Source organism: Homo sapiens, chromosome 2 (genome assembly GCF_000001405.40).
Source record: "Homo sapiens chromosome 2, GRCh38.p14 Primary Assembly".
Lineage (NCBI taxonomy): Eukaryota > Metazoa > Chordata > Mammalia > Primates > Hominidae > Homo > Homo sapiens.
Genome location: NC_000002.12, coordinates 43,548,336 through 43,569,782, shown reverse-complemented (window position 1 = coordinate 43,569,782; position 21,447 = coordinate 43,548,336). Strand labels below are relative to the sequence as shown.

General features: G+C 37.5%; 1 protein-coding gene across 9 annotated transcripts in view; it reads left to right on the top strand.

Annotated features, from left to right (window-relative positions):
• Positions 1–21,447, top strand: part of THADA (THADA armadillo repeat containing) — a 365,188-nt gene that overhangs the window by 26,256 nt on the left and 317,485 nt on the right. For 5 of the 9 annotated variants that reach the window (NR_073394.2, NR_144316.2, NM_022065.5 and 2 more), the window contains 6 exons: positions 2,962–3,085; positions 9,398–9,549; positions 13,228–13,438; positions 17,444–17,579; positions 17,858–17,994; positions 20,415–20,573. Coding sequence is in view for 7 of the 9 variants with exons in the window: in NM_022065.5 (NP_071348.3) it covers positions 2,962–3,085; positions 9,398–9,549; positions 13,228–13,438; positions 17,444–17,579; positions 17,858–17,994; positions 20,415–20,573 (919 nt within the window). In the remaining 2 variants the exon portion in view is untranslated. Of the gene's footprint in view, positions 1–2,961; positions 3,086–9,397; positions 9,550–13,227; positions 13,691–17,443; positions 17,714–17,857; positions 17,995–20,414; positions 20,574–21,447 lie in introns of those variants that run through there. The other 4 variants (NM_001345924.2, NM_001345923.2, NM_001271643.2 and 1 more) reach the window with 3 other exon arrangements.

Below are 21,447 nucleotides of genomic sequence, written 5' to 3'. Positions count from 1 at the left end.
ATCTAGCCTTTGAGAAGCAGACCCTTTTTTGCTCCTCAGGCCCAGACAGAAGACAGCTTACCTATTTATTTTAAGAAAGAGGTAGATTAATAGATTAATGATACGTTTGAACTATGACATGCTCACTACTTACTCTAAACATTATTATGGATGCCCTTGGTTTTCAATTTTGTATTTAAAAGATAAAAAGCCATCAAACAAAGAGTATTTATATACAAAGGGTAAAATTAGCTTCGACCTTTTAAAATCTCAATGACGAAGATTGGGACGTCACAACCTGAACTTTAAAGACATGGGTTTACTCCTGATTCTGCCACTTATTAGTTGGCTGACTTGAGTCTCGTCAACTATAAGCAGAATTAGTAACCTTTCTCAAAGATTGATTTGAGGATTAAATGAAAAAGCTCTTTGTAGACTATATATCTCTCCACTTGATCTTAGCTAAAAGGCCGAGAAGTGATGTAAACTATATATCTCTCTACAAAGCCTTGCTGGGAGTCATTAAAAGCGACTAGTGGTGGCTCATGCCTATAATCTCAGCACTTTGGGAGGTTGAGGCAGGAGGATCACTTGAGTCCAGGACTTCAAGACTAGCCTGGGCAACATAGCAAGACCCCATCTCTATTAAAAGAAAAAGGCAACCCTGAGACGGGCGTGGTGGTGTGCACCTGTGTTCCCAGATACTCTGGAGGCTTAGGGTTGAAGGTTGCTGGAGTCTGGGAGGTGAGGGCTGTGGTGAGCCTTAATTGTAGCACTGCACTCCATCCTGAGCAACAGAGCAGCGAGACCCTGCTTCAAAAAAATTAATAAATAAAAATTTTAAAAGTGACTAGAATATATATTGAAGCCCCCAGTGTGTGTGTAGGATAGTTAAAAAAATTTTTTTTAATTAATTAATTCTTTGTAGATGTAGGTTCTTGCTGTGTTACCCAGGCTGGTTTCAAAATCCTGGCCTCAAATGATTCCCCCCACTCCACCTCCCAAAGTGCTGGGATTACAGGCATGACATACTACCTATTCTAAACATTATTATGGATCATTGTGGATATTATGCCCAGCCTAGTTATTTTGTAGTTTCTCTTAGATCATTGGTAGATTTAACAATGCATATCTCGTTTGCTTTCTTTTTGCAAGGGGTAAAATGACATTTGTGAAAACTCAGGTACTTGGAAACACAAAAGCTGTTTTTTGGATTGAGATTGTGAATTTTCATGTATGCATGGTTTCTTGGTCTGTGTTATAGGTATGCATGTTTTGAAAACTAGTCCTTTGAGTCTTAATCTGAGTCAGTCTCATGGTTGTGGTACTTTTTCCCTACTGGTACACCTGTGGCTTTTAGAGGTTGTGACCTTGGCACTATATTGTTATAATCGTCACACCATCATAAGAGTGGGTGCCATGCACAGGGTGTGGTAGGCTCACAATCAATAGACTAAGTGCTGGGGGAGAAGAGGAGGCTATTAGTTGAAAAAGACATCTTCTAGGCTAGTGGAGATTATTTTATACCTAAATAACTGATATTAGTAACTAGAGTACTTTTAAATTTATAAAATATTAGATGTCCATGTTCTCATTTAACCTTTAATAAAAAGGCTGTGAGATAACATTCTTATCCCCACTTAACAAGTGAGAAAGCTGAAGCTCAGTGAAGTTCAATAACCTGTGTAAGGTTCCTCAGCTAGTAAGTGGTAGAGTCAGAACTCCAATCCAGACCTGCTCTTGACTCCAAAATCTCAGTATTTTCTCCCCCCCACCCCCAGTAGTAGCTTAATGAAGGCTTGGAGATAAGAAAGTACAGGGAGAACTCAGGGAATGGTGAATTCACTGATGTGAATGACATAAAATACCTTGGGGAATGGAGGACTTGAGTAATGGGAAGTGAATCCAAAGAATCAAGTTGAAAATGGATAGCTTTCAGTGATAGGCCAACGGATTTGGAAGCTTCACTGGGAACCATTAAAAGTGATTAGAGCATATACTGAGCATTACTATGTATGTAGGATAGTGTGCTCAGCACTAGGGATCCAACCATAGAAATGTGGTCCCTGCATATATTGTGGCTACAGTCTGATTGCAGGAAACAAGAACTATATTAAACCATATAAATGACAATACGGTTTGAATGATACTTCTTAGTGGATGATCTTGTTTTTTTTCAGAGGGAGTTTCGCTCTTTCGCCCAGGCCAGACTGCAGTGGCGTGATCTTGGCTCACTGCAACCTCTGCCTCCTGGGTTCAAGCAATTCTCCTGCCTCAGCCTCCCGAGTAGCTGGGACTACAGGCCTCTGCCACCACACCTGGCTAATTTTTGTATTTTTAGTAGAGACAGGGTTTCATGTTGGACATGCTGGTCTCGAACTTCTGACCTCAGGTGATCTGCCCACCTCGGCCTCCCAAAGTGCTGGGATTACAGGCATGAGCCACCACGCCTGGCCCTTGTTGTGTTTTAATGTGAATCCTGTTTTACTTATAATTAAAAGTAGCTTAACTAGGATATTTTTCAGTAATGGCCCTATTTCTTTGAAACCGAATAGAATTAATAACCTAATAAACTCTTAGGGCTTGTGGGACCTAAAGGATAATTCCCCAGGGTTGCATGTCCTTCACCTGAGAAATGAATGCAGGGATCTTTGGTAGAGTCAGTTAAGACTAGGGCTGTTGAACCCAGCGAGACTCTGTCTTAAAAAAAAAAAAAAAGTGTACGTATCTGTCTGGGCTACAATAGAAATTGTACTTCTTGTTGACTCTGCAAATATAGGGTTTATTAAAGTCATAATATAGCTTATGGTCAAGGGTGCTAACCTGAATTATTAAGCAAAGTGAACAACCAGTATCATTTTTTGAAATGTTTTATTTTTAAATTGAAAACAAAAACACCCACTCTTAAAGGGTGTTTAATACTCTGAATATAACCTATTGTGACGTAATTATACTTACTGTAATTTTTTTTTTTTTTTTAAGAATTTCATGTCATCCATTTGTAACAGTCTTTTTGAAGCATTGTTTCCTGGATCTTCCTACTCGACTAGATTTTCAGCTTTAACCATTTTAGGTTCAATAGCTGAAGTTTTTCATGTCCCAGAAGGTAAGTGTTTAATAATGTTAGGGGAAGTAATTTTTGTTTTCTTTCAAAACATACTTATTCTACATTTTGCTTTATTTGAAGTTTCAGTTTTGTTGCCTTTCTTTGAGGTTTCATTCTTACCTTATAATTCTTGCTTGTACATAATGAAATTTGCTAGTAAAGGACAGAAGAGGAAGAAACTATCTCCCTTTTCATTGATCATTATTTGCCAACCCCAAAGTATAATTTTCATGGATTATGCTTATTATGGAAAGAGTTCCAGCTATTACCTCACTAATTTGTTTGTTGCTGTTTTAAGATAGTATCCAATCTGTTCTTTAAGTTTTAAAATTTGAAATAATAATAGCTTCTATTATATTTAATATTTCTCAGTGAGTCTCTGTGGTTAAAATGTGGTTTCCTTTACATGCCGTCTGTTTCATGTGCCTCAGTCTGGTTTCGGAAAGACAATATGAGGATGTAATTTCCAAGTATTCTGATTTAATAATACCCTTTGTTTTTCCTTCTGTGTGGTTCTCAAGAGGGTCAAATTTCAGTTCCCTCTTTGAATCTTTTTTTTTTGTTTCATTTTTTCCTTTTTGACAAGAAATGATTCCTTTTTTTTTATTTTGAGACAGAGTCTAGCTCTGTTGCCCAGGCTGGAGTGTGGTGGCGTGATCTCGGCTCACTGCAACCTCCGCCTGCTGGGTTCAAGCGATTCTCCTGCCTCAGCCTCCCGAGTAGCTGGGACTTCAGGCGCATGCCGCTACACCTGGCTAATTTTTTGTATTTTTAGTAGAGATGGGGTTTCACCATGTTAAGTCAGGATGGTCTCGATCTCCTGACCTCGTGATCTGCCCGCCTCGGCCTCCCAAAGTGGTGAGATTACAGGCGTGAGCCACCGTGTCCTGCTGAAATGATTCTTTTTTCCCTGTATATGTGTGTATATGTGTTAGAATGTGGGATTTCTTGCTTGTGCTGTCTTCGTTGACTGTGGTCAAACAGGAAAATATCCTGCTCAGCTGCTCCTTCACAGGGAATGGCCAAAGCATGAGGGAGCTTTACACTATCATTGGATTCTTTTTTATTTTAAATTATTGGGCAAAGTGTAATTTTTTGACAGGAGGACAGTTAGCTAATGTAAAAGAGGCTTGCTTCATTTGGGGAAAATCAGTTTTTAAAAGTTTTTATTCTGAAAAAATTTAAATCAGCAGCAAAGTTTCAAGACTGGTTCAATGAATAGCTATTTATGCTCTACCTAGATTCATCTTTTTTTTTTTTTTTTTTGAGACGGAGTCTCGCTCTGTTGCCCAGGCTGGGGTACAGTGGCATGATCACCGTGACCTCTGCCTCCTGGGTTCAAGCAGTTCTCCTGTCTCAGCCTCCTGAGTAGCTGGGATTACAGGCACGTGCCACCACGCCCAGGTTAATTTTTGTATTTTTAGTAGAGACGGGGTTTCACCATGTTGGTCAGGCTGGTCTCGAACTCCTGACCTCAGGTTGTCCGCCTTGCTTAGTCTCCCAAAGTGCTGGGATTACAGGTGTGAGCCACCGCACCTGGCCAATTCATCAGTTATTAATATTTTGCAATATTTGCTATATCTGTGTCCTTTATTAATTCTATAACCATAACACAATGATCAAATTCAGGAAATTGAATGTTGATACAATGCTTTAATTGAATACGCAATCCATATTTAAATTTTGCCAATTGTCCCAACAAATGGCCTTTTATATTATAGAACAAAAAGCTTCCTACAATCTGGGAAGCAATCCTAGATCACGCATTGCGTTTTGTTATTATGCCTCTTTTTAGCTTCCTTTAATCTGGAAAGTTTCTAATTTTATGATATTAACATTTTGGAAGAATATGTCTCAGGGTTTGTCTCATTGTTTCCTGATGATTTGATTCATGCTGTACATTTTTGCAGGAATGTTGCATAGGTGATAATGGTGTTCTTCACAGGGCATCCTATTAGAGTATTGATGATACTGGCTTGTTCCAGTTTTTATAATAGGAAATATGATCACCTTATTCACGTGGGGATGGCAGGCTGAAAAATGGTCTCTAAAACACATCCACATCAAATCTTTAGAAGCTGTGAATGCAAACCTTACATGGAAGAAGGGTCCTTGCAGATATTCTTAAGTTTAGGATCTTGAGGTGAGATAATTCTAGATTATCTTGATGGATCAAAAATGTCATCACAAGTATCCTTACAAGACAGAGGCAGAGAGAGATTTGACAAACAAAAGAAAGAGGAGGCAGTGCGACAGCGTAGGTAGAGATTGGCATGAGATGGCTACAGGCCATGGAATGCCTGCAGCTGCTAGAAGCTGGAAGAGGCAAGGAACAGATTTTAGAGCCTCTGGAGTGCATGGCCCTACTGACACCTTGATTTTGAACTTCTGGCTTCCAGAACTATGAGAGAATAGGTTTCTGTGGTTTTAAGCACCAAGTATGTGGTAATTTGTTACAGCATCCAGTGAATGCGGGAGTCTCCCATCAGTTCATAGAATTTCAATAGTACTTCAACTTAATTTAGAAAATAAGTTTTTACCTTAGAGTGATTGATTACTTCAACCATATAACAAAAAGTTTTCTGCACATTTAAAGCAGTTGTAGCTGCATCTAAGTGTGTGGGAAATAAAACTAGGCTGAAGCGTACCTATAATTTTTCAGTCAAGAGAGTAATTTAATACATTTAAATGTACTTTAAAAATGAAAACCCTGAGTCATCTTTCTAATGAATGAGTTGCATGTAATTGGGCAGTGACTTAATGCCATCGTAATTATGTTAGACAACTGGGAGGTAATGCAAATGGAGCAAGCCATACTGCAGGCATTACTTTTAAAGGAGGCTTAAGAACCTTGACTATGAAGTACAGGATGGGAGATGTAAATTCATCCTTCATTATCATCTCAAGAACTTCAGTGGTAGGACTGATTTGAGATTAGTCAAATGGTTTCTGCCTTTCCTAGACCAGGAAGAATAAGTTGCATGCATCTTTCTTATGTGGAATCAAATGCCACAATATTGATGGTAAAAAAAAATCTACAATTAGATTAAAAGGATTTGTTCAGCAAATATTAATTTCGTGCTTATTATATGTCAAGCAGCCGAGGATATTCACAGTCCCAAACAAGGTGCTTCTTCCTTTGGAGCTTATGTTTCAGTGAAGGGAGATAGTAATGAACAAGTAATACATAGAATTTGTGTATATTAGTACATTATGTAGATACAAGATTATGTAGATTATTTATGTACAAGATGTAGATAAGTTCTGTGAAAAGTATTTCAAGAAGATAAGGGGGATATATAGAAGACCTAGGAGGCTGGAGAGTGTTAGTGGCTTCATACAGTGGTGTCATAAAGGGCTTCACATTTGAAAAAAGCTCTTAAACAACTGATGGATAAAAGAATAAATCATGAAGGAAGTTAGAAAATATTTTGAGATGAATGAAAGCAAAAATACAACGTACGAAAACTTATGCATTGCAGCAAAAGCTGTGCTTATAGGGAAAGTTATAGCTGTAAATGCCTACATTAAAAGATCTTGAATTAATAACCAAGTTAACTTTCCACCTCAAGCAATTAGAAGAGAAGAACAAACTTAAAAGGAAGGAAACAAAAAGATTAGAACAGAGATAAATGAAATAGAAAACAGAAAAACAACACGAATAATCTACGAAACCAGAAGTTGTGTTTTTTAAAGATTAACAAATAGACAAAGTTTGCTAAACTGACTAAGATAAAAGAAAGACAGTATAAACAACTAAAATCAGAAATGAAAGTAGGAACATTTCTATTAAGTTTGCAGAAATAAAAATGATTATAAGACAGTACAGTGAACAATTGTAACACCAACAAGTTAGATAACCTACATGAAATGGACAAGTTTCTAGAAACATGACAATTAGTGACTTGAGAAGAAATAGAAAATGTGAGCAGACCTATAAGAGATTGAATCAGTATTCAAAAGGCTCACAGAGGAAGAGAAGGTTCAGGGCAAGTGACTTCTCTGGTGAAATCTACAAAGCATTTAAAGAAGAATTACACCAGTCCTTCTGAGACTCTTTCAAAAAATTGGAGAGAAGGGAACACCTCCTACCTCATTTTATAAGGCCATGATTACCCCGATACCAAAACCAAAGACACTTAAAAGAAAACCAGCCGGGTGTGGTGGCTCATGCCTGTAATCCCACCACTTTGGGAGGCCGAGTCAGGTGGATCACCTGAGATCAGGAGTTTAAGACCAGACTGGCCAACATGGTGAAACCCCGTCGCTACTAAAAATACAAAAAATTAGCCGGGCGTGGTGGCAGGTACCTGTAATCCCAGCTACTCAGGAGGCTGAGGCAGGAGAATTGCCTGAACCCAGGAGGCTGAGGTTTCAATGGGCTGAGATTGCGCCATTGTACTCCAGCCTGGGCGACAAGAGCAAGACTTCATCAAAGAAAAGAGAAGAAAACAGAGGAGAAGAGAAGGAAAAGAAGAAAGAAAAGGAAAGAAAAAACCAAAGACCAATATCCTTTATGGATATAGAGGCAAAAACCCTCAATAGAATACTAGCAAACCAAATCCAACAGCATATTAAAAGTGTTATATACCATTAGTAAGTGGAATTTATCCCAGGAATGTAAGGGTGGGTCAATTTAAGAATAATAGTCAATGTAATACACCACATTAAAATGAAAATGGAAATACCATGTGATCGTCTCAATTTTTGCAGAAAAGGCATTTGACAGAATTCAGTACCCTTTTATGATTAAAAAAATGAGCACAGCAAAACTAGAAATAGGAAGGACAAGATGATGAAGGACATTTGTAACACAACCACAGGTAACATCACACTCACTGGTGAGAAACTGAAAGCTTTTGTCCTAAGATCAGGAAGAAGACACAGATGCCCACTGTCATCACTGCTGTTCACCATTGTACTGAAAGTTCTAGCCAGAGCAATTATACAAGAAAAAAATAAAAAGCAGTGAGATTGGAAAACAAGAAGCAAATCTGAGCAGAGTTGTTAAGGAAGTAACAAAAACCTCAGGTGTCGGCTCTAGGAATTTCATAGGGTTGTTCTAACTTGTAAATTAAAATTAAATGAGAAGTTTGTATCCCAATTTATATTCCTCAAATTAACTAAGCATAATAATGTTTTCAGTTTTCATTAGGAGTTCACTTGTGAAATGTTTTTAAATGTTCTTCACATTTTGCCATGAAACCTGTTTTTCCACAGTTCTTGAGTTTTCATCCTAGAGTTAAGTGGAGTCAGTGATTACCATCATTCTTTGGGATAATTTTTCTTTTCATCCCTTGGTTGGCTGAAATTCCTTTTTCTCTAAGAGTTTCTGGAGATAAGTAGTTCTTAATTTCTTGCATATTATAAAATGTTTCTATTGTTCTTACACTTGAATAAGAGTTTGATAGGCAAAGTTCTTCACACCTTCATTCCCTGAGGATTTTGTAAGCATTGCTCCATTATCTTTTAGCACTACATGTTGTTATAGGGATGAGTGAAGCCAGTCTAATTTTTTCCATTTTGTAGATGAATTGAGCTTTTCCCTGAAGGGCCAAAAGATTCCTTCTTTATCTTTGACTCCCAGTAAGTCTATCAGGATATGTCATCATACTGATCATTCTATGTCAGTTCACTCTAAGATATGGTAGGACTTTGCTTTTTTTTTTTTTTTTTTTTTTGAGACCAAGTCTCACTCTGTTGCGCAGGCTGGAGTGCACTGACATGAGCTCAGCTCACTGCAATCTCCGTCTCCTGGCCTCGAGCGATTCTGCTGCCTCAGCCTCCCAAGTAGCTGGGATTACAGTCGTGTGCCACTATGCCTGGCTAATTTTTGTGTTTTTAGTAGAGAAGGGGTTTTACTTTGTTGGCCAGACTGGTCTCAAACTCTTGACCTCAGGTGATCCACCCACCTCAGCCTCCCAAAGTGCTGGGATTACAGGTGTGAGCCGCTGAGCCTGGCCAGAACTTTGTATTCTAGGTCAAGAAGTTTTATTAGGATTTTTAAAAAGATGTGTTTCTAAATTTACTTGTTTTTGTTTATTTTTAACAATAACTTAGAAATCTTTTATATAGTATCTTTCAAAAGATAATGGAATGGTTTAAAAATCTTTTTTAATTTGGAGAACTGTAGTACTTATTTTGTCATTTTAAGAAATAAATTAATGGAAAAGTTACTGTTTTAGCTATCATGGGTAAAGTATGAAGTGTGGTTTTTTGGTACTTATTTTCTATAAATTTGGTCAAATAACTTCAGAAGACTGATTTCTTTTTGTTCACTTTTAAATCTTTTTGTTTTTAAAATATTTTTAGGCAGAATTTATACAGTATATCAGCTGAGTCATGATATTGATGTTGGTCGTTTCCAAACACTAATGGAATGTTTTACCAGCACTTTTGAAGACGTGAAAATTTTAGCATTTGATCTTCTGATGAAGTTATCAAAAACAGCTGTACATTTTCAGGTATCAGGACTTTTCTAGTATAAATGTGGTATATGCATGGAAACTTTCTATCAGCAGATAAAGCAATCTGAGGATTATTCATGTGCTTTGCATCTGCCTGCTCATGTTTTTGGACTGTTTCTTTCAGTTATCATTAACACCTCTCTACTATTTTGGGGTTAGTGGGAAAGGAGGAAATATCAAAAAGTAAATAAGGCACAAATCAGTGAGCTTTGCTGTTTTTATTGCTTTGATAAAAAGGGAGGTGTAGGAGGTGGTAGGTTTTATTGTTTACAAGATTATTGGTAGATTTTAGTTAACTGTGGTTTCCCCTGTTCCCTTGGACATGTAATATTCGATCAGAACACATCACTTACAGTAACTTGCATTTTTCGAGATAATCTCCCTTTTTCATACACTTGAGAAACTGAGTGTAAATGAGGTAGAGAGGATGTTTCTGGTTTTTGAACCAGCAATAGCTAAACTGAGACTGAAACTTACCGAGTACTTGAGGTTAACAACAGTTCCTAGTGCTCTACCTCATCCCCAGCCCCTCCATTCTTCCTGACACATTGCTCTTCCCACTTTGGGGTAGGAATTAAAGGTGGGGTTGGAAGTGAACACATTGTGTGGGGATGAGTCTGCAGGGGACTTCCAGACCCTGGCTCTTAGCTCTGCCCTTGAGGCTTCTCCTAGGGCTGTTGGGTCACCAGCAGAGTACTGGTTCTGGAGCTTAGCTATGGCTTTCTATTAGAGCTCTATAAAGGCCGAGGGTTTCTGCTGCAGCTGAGCCATGGTCTAGGCTGTGGTTGTTCAGCTGTGTTTAGGGCATGGTAGCTTGTAGATGCAGTGGATTCTGTAGGATCACATGCCAGAGAGGATAGTGTCTGTTTCTGTGGCTTCTAGATGGCTATGTAGAACATCTATCTATCTGTATCTCTCAGAACATCAATCTTTTTTGACTTGGGTCCATATTGGAAGTTGCTGTACAGCATCTACCGATGCCTATGATTTTTCAGGTGCCCTTGTGAGCAGAAAGTTCCCTGGTGCTCAGGCTGCTAACTTTTGTTACCATACACAGTTTTTAAAGAGGAGATTTTCTCTTCCTCTGTCTGCCACTCCTCACCTTATCATTCATCACATGTCACCTCATATTGTGTCAATAGCGATGCCCCATTCTTGGCAAATATTTTGAGAGTACCTGGATGGAGAAGGCATATTATGGCATAAATGTGAAAGACCTGGCCCTTACATCACTAAGGGGCTCAGGGGACCTCTGCATCTCTAAATTTGATAAACCCGTGCTTGGTATATTGACACTAGCCATAGAATTCAAGAAATTTAGTACCACATGTGGTTTGCTATAGGATTTTGATTATACTCTCTGGCTTGCAGATTAGTAAAATAGTTAAAGGAATAGGCATTCAAGATTTAAAAATATTAATTATATATTTGTATTAGGGTTTTCTAGAGGGACAGAACTAATAGGATAGATGTATATATAAAGGAGAGTTTATTAAGGAGTATTGACTCACACGATCACAAGCTGAGGCCCCACAATAGCCCTCTGCAAGCTGAGGAGCAAGGAAGCTAAAGCTGAAGAACTTGCAAGAGTCTGATGTTCCAGCGCAGGAAGCATCCAGCATGGGAGAAGTAGGCCAGAAGACTAAACCAGTCTAATCTTTCCATGTTCTTCTTCCTGCTTTTATTCTTGCTGCACTGGCATCTGATTAGATTGTGTTTACCCAGGTGGAGGATGGATCTGCCTTTCCCAGTCCACTGATTGAAATATTAATCTCCTTTGGCAACACCCTCACAGACACACACAGGAACAATACTTTGCATCCTTCAATCCAATCAAGCTGACACTCAGTATTAACCATCACAATATTATATTTCCAAAGTCTTTCTTTGGGTGTCCCTTATATAATATATAATTAATTTTTAATACAGTTAAGTGTACAGCAGTTTTTGAATGCTAACCTGATCTCTCTAAGGACGTGTACATACGTATTGTTGACGGCATATTTTTCTCATAAATAGCTTGACTATCCTACTCACCTAGGTTACTCTCCTTCTTTGGAGCTGCATATCCTAGGTCTTTTGTCATATTATACTTCGATTGACCTAAGATGACGGAACAAAGACATTTTAGACTTCAAAGGCTATTTATTATCTTTCTTACTAATGATTAATAAAACAGTTCTGGGACTTAACTGTCAGTTAAAAAATGGTTTAGATGCTTAATTGGTTCTTTCTAATACTTATTTAAACTTGAACTTTGGCCACTACTTTTAAGTTTTTTATTTAGGTCATAGAAAATAAACTTATCAAATGGTAAAGAATTTAAATTGAAATAAACAGATATTTAAATCAGCACATTTGATATCCACTGTTGTGAAATTATAAAACATCATCAAATATTTGTAGACCTATAATCAACTTCAAAATTGAGTGTATAATTATTTTTTCCTAACACAAGATAGGGAATAATCCTAGTAGAATCAGAATATTATTGAGCAGCCAAACCCTGACTTCCAGACTTATGAACACACAGCTTGCCAGTTGTTGAAGTTGGGACTAGGACTTATGTCTTCTGTTGTCAGCCCAGTGCCTTTCCATGACTACAACAGCAAACTGTCCTTTGTTCTGTCTTCTTTAGGACAGGCGATGTGAGTGGATGTTTCTGTGAGATATAGGTGTGGGAGCTCTGATGCATAATTTCTGAGGCTGAATTGATCACTTTGTTTTCCACACACACAAAGTTTCACCAGGTACAGCCTCCCAGGGGATTTGCAGTTTTCTCCAGTGAACTACCTGTATAGGAAGGAGGAAGGGAGAAGGGCAGCCATATGATGCCCAGGTGAAACATAAGCCCTGAGAGACTATGAACTGCCCTGTCTAGAAATAGTAAAGATAGTCTGGCTGTAGTCATAGCAAAATTCTACAGGACAAAGTACACTTTTGCTGAAGAAAGAAGCAGTTTTAAAAAAAGGTTTTATCAGTGTTGAATTTCCCAATTGAAATTATTTCCAGCTGATTAATAATCATTAATTACTGTAATAAAAAACTCACCTATATTCAGGGAGAGAGGAAACTAATGTTTATATTGACTTACAATTATATGCCAGGCTGTGTTGTTTTGTTTTGTTTTGTTTTTTTTCTTTTAATAGAGACAGGGTCTCACTCTATTGCCTAGGCTGGAGCACAGTGGTGCAATCACTGCTCACTGCAGCCATGAACTCCTGAGCTCGAGTGATCCTCACCTCTCAGCCTCTTGAATGGCTGGGACTACAGGTGTGCACCATTACACCCAGCTAATTTTTAAGGTTTTTCGTAGAGTTTTTGTAGAGTAAGTTTTTTGTCTCACCGTGTTGCCCAGGCTGGTCTCAAGACTCCTAACCTCAAGTGATCCTCCCATCTTGGCCTTCCAAAGTGATGGGGTTACAGATATGAGCCACTGCACCAAGCCTGTGTTTTTTGTTGTTGTTTTTTTGAGATGGGGTCTCACTATGTTGTCTTGGCTGATCTTGAGCTCCTGGCCTCAAGTAATCCTCCTCCATCAGCCTCTTGAGTAGCTGGGACTCTAGGCTCGAGCCCACTGTACTCAGCTCCAGGCTGTGTTTTAAAAAATTTACTATTTTTTTAAATTAAAGAGATCTTTAATTTGACAGTTACTGAGTCTGCGCTTTATTCTAGGATTCGGGGAAACTGCAAGGCTTATTTCAGGCAGCATTGGAGCTCAGCACAAGCACCAAACCATACGACTGTGTGACAGCTTCCTACCTGCTGAACTTCTTAATCTGGCAGGATGCTCTACCGTCATCCTTGTCTGCCTACTTAACTCAGCAAGTTGCATGTGATAATGGAGATAGGCCTGCTGCTGTGGTGGAAAGGAACACATTAATGGGTTTGTATTGATGTTTGCTCTTATCAAAACGAATAGCTTAGTCTCAGTATTCATTTGGTTAGAATATCTAATGGTTAAACATATATTTTGTGGTTTTTTATTTAAAAGTTTATCAGCATATAAGAGCACCATGGGTTCTCATTATGCAAATGAACATTTTAGTCAGCTATAATACTTTTTTCTAAACAGTGGATTTATGTTGAATAAGTACATATACAAATATTTATTAATAAAGCTCTTTTGAAATGAGAATGACCTCTTTCTCCACCAAAAGTGTGCTTTTTTCCCTACATAAATTATACTGTGACTAGAGACAGACCATCTTTATTGTTTCTATATAGGTGGAGTTCCTTTTTCTGTCAGGGTTTATGTTTTAATTAACTGTCATACCCCTGCCTTTTACTCTTCCCAAATAGCCAGTTCCAAAACCTAGGGTCTGAGATTATTCAGATCTAGTGATTTTCAACAAATATTTATTGGGGATTCATGTACTTAATTTTATGCTAGTCAGTCTTCATTTTAGAATTGTACTAGAAATAAGGACAGATAAGGATTTTTTTTTAATAGGAAAAGGGAGATCAGATATAGAAAGAGAGTTAAAAATTATTATTTCCAGGATGGTAGAAACAGCCATGAAAAAGAGAACTAGTAATGGGAGAAAAAGAGGAGGCCATGGGTAGTTCTGGTGGGAATATGGCCAGAGATCTGGAGATAGAGAGGTGACAGTACCATGGAGGATGATGCTTGCCTACTTGAATTGCTTCATAGCTGGATTTCAAAGGAGACCCTATTGAGACAGTGGGAAGAGGACTGCAATTGAGGTGAATAGGGAATGCATGCTTCACATAAAGGCTTTCAATTCAAGACATTTTAGGACTTTATGAGATATTTCAAACATACAAAGAATGTTTAAATATAGACGGCTTAAAAAACATATATATATATATACATGTAATATATATAAATAATATGTAAAAAGTTCACAAGTTTTATTCACAAGCTAGGTGATCACACTTACCTTAAGTCATACAATAACACTCATATCTTTGAAGCCTTTCCTTTATCCTGGCTGTATTTTATATTAATTTTTATCTTCTTTTTTTTAATAATATTGCCTCTGGTGTATATATTATTATATATTATTCAGTTTTACATGATACTGAATTTTCTCAGTAGTACTTACTGTATATATTGTACAGATTTACCACAATTTATGAATCCGTTCTCCTGTTGATGGACTTTTTCTCCTAAATAAATAATGCCAGTGTAAACATTCTTATGTAGATCTTTTACATATAGGTTGAGCATCCGTAATCCAACACCTGAAATGGTCCAAAATCCAAAGCTTTTTGAGTACCAACATGACACTCAAAGGAAATGCACATTGGAGCATTTTGGATTTTGGATTTTCACATTTGGGGTGTTCAAAGTATGATGCAGATATTCCAAAATCTGAAAAAATATAAAATCTGAAACGCTTATGGTCCCAAGCATTTCAGATAAGGAGTACTTAGCCTGTATATTAATATCTTCTAATGCACATGTCTAAGAGTTTATGGTAAACAAATGGAATAACCTGGTCACAAAGTATGTGCATCTTGAACTTTATGAGATGATGCCAAGTAGGCTTTTAAATTACACTCTCACCAACAAATTCCGAGACTTGTATTGCATCACATCATCACCATAATTTGCTATTGTCAGATTTTAAAAATTTATATAATATAAAACGATATCTCATTGTGGTTTCATCTTACATTTTTCTGATTACTAATACAATTATTTTTTCCCATGTTTACAAGCCATTTACTTTTCCCCTTCAGTGCAATGCCTGTCGATGTCCTTTGTCCAGTTTTTCTGTAGGGTTGTTTGTCTTTTTCTTATTGATTTTTAGGAGTTCTTTTATATGTTCTGAATAATAATTTACTGTTTTTACCAAATCTAATATTTAGAATATAACCTTCTCCTTCCAAGGCGTTGAGGGGAGATGTCTGTTATACTGGTATAACTGGACATGTACATGCAAGAGAATGAAATTAGATTCACTACCTTATGCCATATACAAAAGCTAGCTCAAAATAAATAAAAGACTTAAATATAAGAGCTAAAACTATAAAATTCTTGGAAGAAAACATAGATGTCAGTCATTGTGATCTTGGGTTAACCAATGGTTAGTTATGACTTCCAAAGTACAAGCCACAAAGGGAAACAAAAGATAAATTGGACTTCATCAAAATTTAAAACTATTGTATGTGAAAGGATGCCATTAAGAAATTGAAAAAGCCTGAAAAATGGGGTATTTGCAAATCCTATGTCTGATAAGGGACTTTTGTCTAGTATATATAAAGAACTTGTACAACTCACTAATAAAAGGACATAACCACATTTTACAATTGGACAAAGAATCTGAATAGACATTTTTCCAAAGAAGATATACACATGAACAATGAGCACATTAAAAAGTGCTCAACATCAAAAGCCTTTACAGAAATGCAAATCAAAATCACAGTGAGGAAGCACTTCACATCCCATAGGATGACTATAATTTAAAAAAGAGATGATAACAAGCATTGATGAGGATGTAGAGAAAGTGGAACCCGCATAGACTGTTGGTGGGATTGTAAAATGCTGTATCTGCTTTGGAAAATAGTCTGGCAGTTCCTCAAAAGGCTAAACATAGAGTTACCATGTGACCCTGCAGTTCCACTCTTAGGCATTGTCTTAGCTCGAGCTGCTATAACAAAATGCCATAGACTAAGTGGCTTAAACACAGACCTTTATTCTCATAATTTTAGAGGCAGAGAATTCCAATATCAAGTTTCCAGCTCCTGATAAGGGGCCTCTTTTTGACTCTCAGATGGCCATGTTGCTGTGTGCTCACATGGCAGGAAGAGAGAGCAAGCTCTGGCCTTTGTTCTTTTAAGGACACTAATCCCATTATGAGGGTCCTAACCTCATGACTTAATCTAAACCTAATTACCTTCCAAGGTCTCCATCTTCGATTATCACATTAGGGATTAGGACTTCAAAATACCAATATTGGGGTGGGGGAGGAAGCACAAACATGTAGTCCATAACAAGGATATACCTAAGAGAAATGAAAACATACATCTAAACAAAAACTTGTACAAGAATGTTTATAGCAACATTATTTGTAATAGCCAAAAAGTGGGAACAATCTACGTCTGTCAACAGATGAATGGATAAATAAAATGTGGTATATCCATGTGGTATGGCTATACAGTGAGCTATTATTCATCTATAGGAAGGAATGAAGTATTGATACATGCTGCAGCATGGATGAACTTTGCAAACATTATGCTAAGTGAAAAGCCAGTTTCAAAAGATCGCATATTGTATGATTCTATTTATATGAGACGTCCAGGCAACTAGTTTATTTTCTGTCTATAGATTTGCCTACTCTGGACGTATCATAAATGGAATCATACAATATGTGATCCTCTAGGGCTGGAGAAGGGTAGAGGTGCAAGGAGAGCAGTGACTGCTAACGGGTAAGTTTTCTTTTTTTTTTTTCGTTTGGTGGCAGGAGGGCAGTGAAAATGTTCTAAAATTAATTATGGTGATGGTTGTACATATGTGACTAATAAAAACTATTGTATACTTCAAATGTATGAATTTTGTGGCATATGAATTACATCTCAGAAAAGCTGTTCTTTTTTTTCTTTTTTAATTTGAAAGCCATCTGCTGTCCAATTAGCACATGCCACATCAGCCTGGGGTTTGATACCCTAGTGAGAGGATGTTTAGGAGGAAGGACTAAGAGTGAATGCTGTAATGGATACAGGCAGTTTAGGGAAAGACACTCAGTTCTGCCTAGAAATGAGCCACCCTGTTGGATAACCCTGAAAGATCTCTTTTTGATTAAAAAACTCTAGTGTAAAGTTCATTTGAGTTGGCCATATTAATGGGAACTATTTTGCTGTTCGTACATTTACAAATGTTTTAAGATTGACATTACTTTGATTTTCTGTTTGCTTTTTCTAGTTATCAAATGCTTGATGGAAAATCTTGAGGAAGAAGTATCTCAGGCTGAAAATTCTCTGCTTCAGGCAGCAGCAGCATTTCCAATGTATGGGCGAGTCCACTGTATAACAGGAGCTTTGCAGAAGTTATCTCTAAAGTAAGGATTTCCACAGCTGCCTCCTGTCTCAGAAATCCATTCATTTCTGAGCTTTAACCTCTGGTTGGAATGTGTCCTGGGAAAGGAATGCAGTCTATTGCTTTGAATAAAATTGAAAATCAGATTTAAAAACATACGTATCTGTGTATATTTTTATGTCTCACATGTTTTATGTATTGAACAATTTTGAAACACAAAGTCAATCCTTTTATCTAATTTTCATTTTTAAAATGTGATTTTTGCTTTTAGTATAAATTTCCCTAATGTCCTTGTTGCAGCAGCCTGCAGTTGGTGAGCGAGTGGAGACCTGTGGTAGAGAAGCTCCTTTTGATGTCCTACAGGCTTTCCACTGTGGTGTCTCCAGTCATTCAGAGCTCATCCCCTGAAGGCCTCATCCCAATGGACACTGATTCAGGTTAGCAAATGAAGAAGGCCGGCTAGAGTGCTGTGGTTTGATTATTATGTCTTTACCTCTTTTTTTTTTTCCCCAAGTATTTCTTTGGGGAGATATAAAAGCTAAGTTGAGGAGAAAATAATTATTATTATTTGTGGTATTTCTGCCTTTTAGCAATAGTTTTAACTATTAAAAAGTAGCAAAAAAAAAAAAAAAAAAATTCCCAAACCAGAGGATGAGCACGGTACCTTCTACCCCAGGGTAACTTGAGTTATATAATACTGTATAAGTTGAACATCCCAAATCTGAAAATTGGAAATACAAAATGCTCCAGATTTTGAAACTTTTTGAACACCAATGGGATGCTCAAAAGAAATGCTTATTGGAGCATCTGTATTTTGGATTTTCAGATTAGGGCTCCTCAGCCATTAAGTACAATGCAGATATTCCAATATTCAAAAAAATAAATTGAGAACGTTTTTGGTCCCAGGCATTTCAGATAAGGGATGCTTAACCTGTGCTAAAATTGAGTGTTCCTTTTAATACACAGAAAAATCATGAAATATATTTATGTTTGGTGTTGAAATAAAGTTTGTAAATGTATTTTAGAGTGCAAAGAGAGGCTTGTATTAGAAAAACTGACTGTATCATAAACACTCACTGAACCATATGCTGAAATACCTTGGGCTGATAATTAAGGTAATGTGGAGTTATGTGTTTTGCACAGAGAATATTAGGTTTTGTTCTTTCCTAAAAATGAGTTAGAAGATTGGTGATGGTTCACGATAGTAAGACACATTTATTTAGCCTGTTGTTAGTCTAAATACCAAATTATTTTATTTAATTAATTTTTTTTTGGTAGAGATGGGATCTTCCTGTGTTGTGCAGGCTGCTCTTGTCAAGCAATCCTTCTGCCTTGGCCTCTTAAAGCATTGGGATTACAGGCCTTAGCCACTGTGCTGGCCTTAAATACTAAATTTTGTCGCTTTAGATTTTCTACTTGAGCAGTGCATAAGAATAAGGAACATGCAATCTTATAGCTAATATTTGGGTCAGCAAAGTACCCATATATTCTGGATGAGAAATCTTGAATATTTCTGTTACCTACTGTGGGTAGATCCTACAGAGGATGCTAACATTATCTTTATTAGTGAAGAGTTTTAAGGTATCAGTTGGTCTCAAAAACTGTCTTTGCCCCACAGACTTTTCCTTCATTCTGCCTGTCTTTTTACCTCTGGTTGTCTTCATTTTTGCTGCTTCTTCCCTGTGTTATCTGCCATACATTCTGAATTGCATGAGGAAAGTCTCCCCTGAAAGCTGTAAAATTGAATGGATAGGATTCTTAAAAATTTATTCTCTGATCTTTTCTTGGTCTTTGCGTGGTTTCTTTTGGGGTCATTGTTAGTTTTTCATGGCTGTTGAAATTTATTTTTGACAAAATTCCAGGAAGGAACATAAGATGTTGATTGAATCATCATGATAGTAATTTGCGTGTTTGTATTTCCCATAGTACCTAAATATAAGTCAAAATAATAGATGTACAATAAATACCGGTTCTTCGATTTGTTAATTGATTTCAGATGATTACCAATGGCTAGTTTTGAAAATCTGAGCCTGGCTAACTCCTTACTACCTACATCCATTCATTCCTTCAACTCATGTTCCTGAACCTCTGCTGTGAGCCAGTTTCTGTTATAGGCACTCGTCACTCAGTAATGAACAAAGTGTTGCATTCATGGAGCTTACATTTCCTAATCCAGTGAGTGCTTAGGGAATAAAAATGAAACTTAATGTAATATGAAGACTGTAAATCATAATTAGAAAGCAGTATATTACATAATGTGTTTCAAAGTTGTGGAGTCGTTACGATATTCCTGTCCTATAAAAGATTGTTTTTGCTGTTGATGGGTTTTTAAAAATGTCTTTTTACCTTTCTATCTTTAAACTTTGATACCTTGTATTATGATGGGGAAATAATCTATTTTCTATTTTTTATATTTATTTATATTTTAAATCAAATATTGATTTTTTTCTACTTTTCTGTTGCCTGCTTCATTTTTCTTTCATAGAGAAATAGCCTCTTAAAACTAAATTTATTGAAGTTTATTGCACTTCTTTGACATGATTAGCACCATATTTGAGATATTTAGACAACACTAAGAAAAGCAGTGTAGATGACATGGTGGCCTTTGTCCTGTGGACAGTTTCAGTGAGTTTTTTTTGTTGTTATATTTCAGTCTAAATTGCCATATTTTAAAAATGCACTCAAGCATCATGAAAACTGTATAAATAATTTTCATATTATCCACCTTGTGAGTCCCTTCTAATAAAGCTGATTATTAAGTATTGAAAATTATAGATTTTTTGAGTAAGCATCCCCAAGGGAAATCTGGCATGTGATGTGTTACTGGGTTTCATGTACGCTCATTTCTTTCCCTCAGAGTCAGCAAGCCGCTTACAGATGATTCTGAATGAGATTCAGCCTCGAGATACTAATGATTATTTTAACCAAGCCAAAATATTGAAAGAACATGATAGCTTTGATATGAAGGACTTGAATGCTAGTGTGGTGAATATTGATACTTCTACAGAAATCAAAGGTAACTTGTATAAAATGGATACTGTAATTCATGTTTAAGTAACCAGTAAAATGTACAGAATGCCCTTTTTATATGGTAAATTAGAGGTTGCAAATCTGTGCAGAACATTTCTAGAAAATAAAGTTTTTTAAAAATTTTGTTTTGGGAAAGATTTGGGTTTAGGAATGGATTTATAAGACTTTTACCAGGGGGGTGGAGCCAAGATGGCCGAATAGGAACAGCTCCAGTCTACAGCTCCCAGCGGGAGTGACGCAGAAGACGGGTGATTTCTGCATTTCCATCTGAGGTACCGGGTTCATCTCACTAGGGAGTGCCAGACAGTGGGCGCAGGACAGTGGGTGCAGCGCACCATGCGCGAGCCGAAGCAGGGCGAGGCATTGCCTCACTTGGGAAGCGCAAGGGGTCAGGGAGTTCCCTTTCCTAGTCAAAGAAAGGGGTGACAGACGGTACCTGGAAAATCGGGTCACTGCCATCCTAATACTGCACTTTTCCGACGGGCTTAAAAAACAGCGCACCAGGAGATTATATCCCGCACCTGGCTCAGAGGGTCCTACGCCCACGGAGTCTCGCTGATTGCTAGCACAGCAGTCTGAGATCAAACTGCAAGGCAGCATCGAGGCTGGGGGAGGGGCGCCCACCGTTGCCCAGGCTTGCTTAGGTAAACAAAGCAGGCAGGAAGCTCGAACTGGGTGGAGCCCACCACAGCTCAAGGAGGCCTGCCTGCCTCTGTAGGCTCCACCTCTGGGGGCAGGGCACAAACAAACAAAAAGACAGCAGTAACCTCTGCAGACTTAAATGTCCCTGTCTGACAGCTTTGAAGAGAGCAGCGGTTCTCCCAGCACACAGCTGGAGATCTGAGAACGGGCAGACTGCC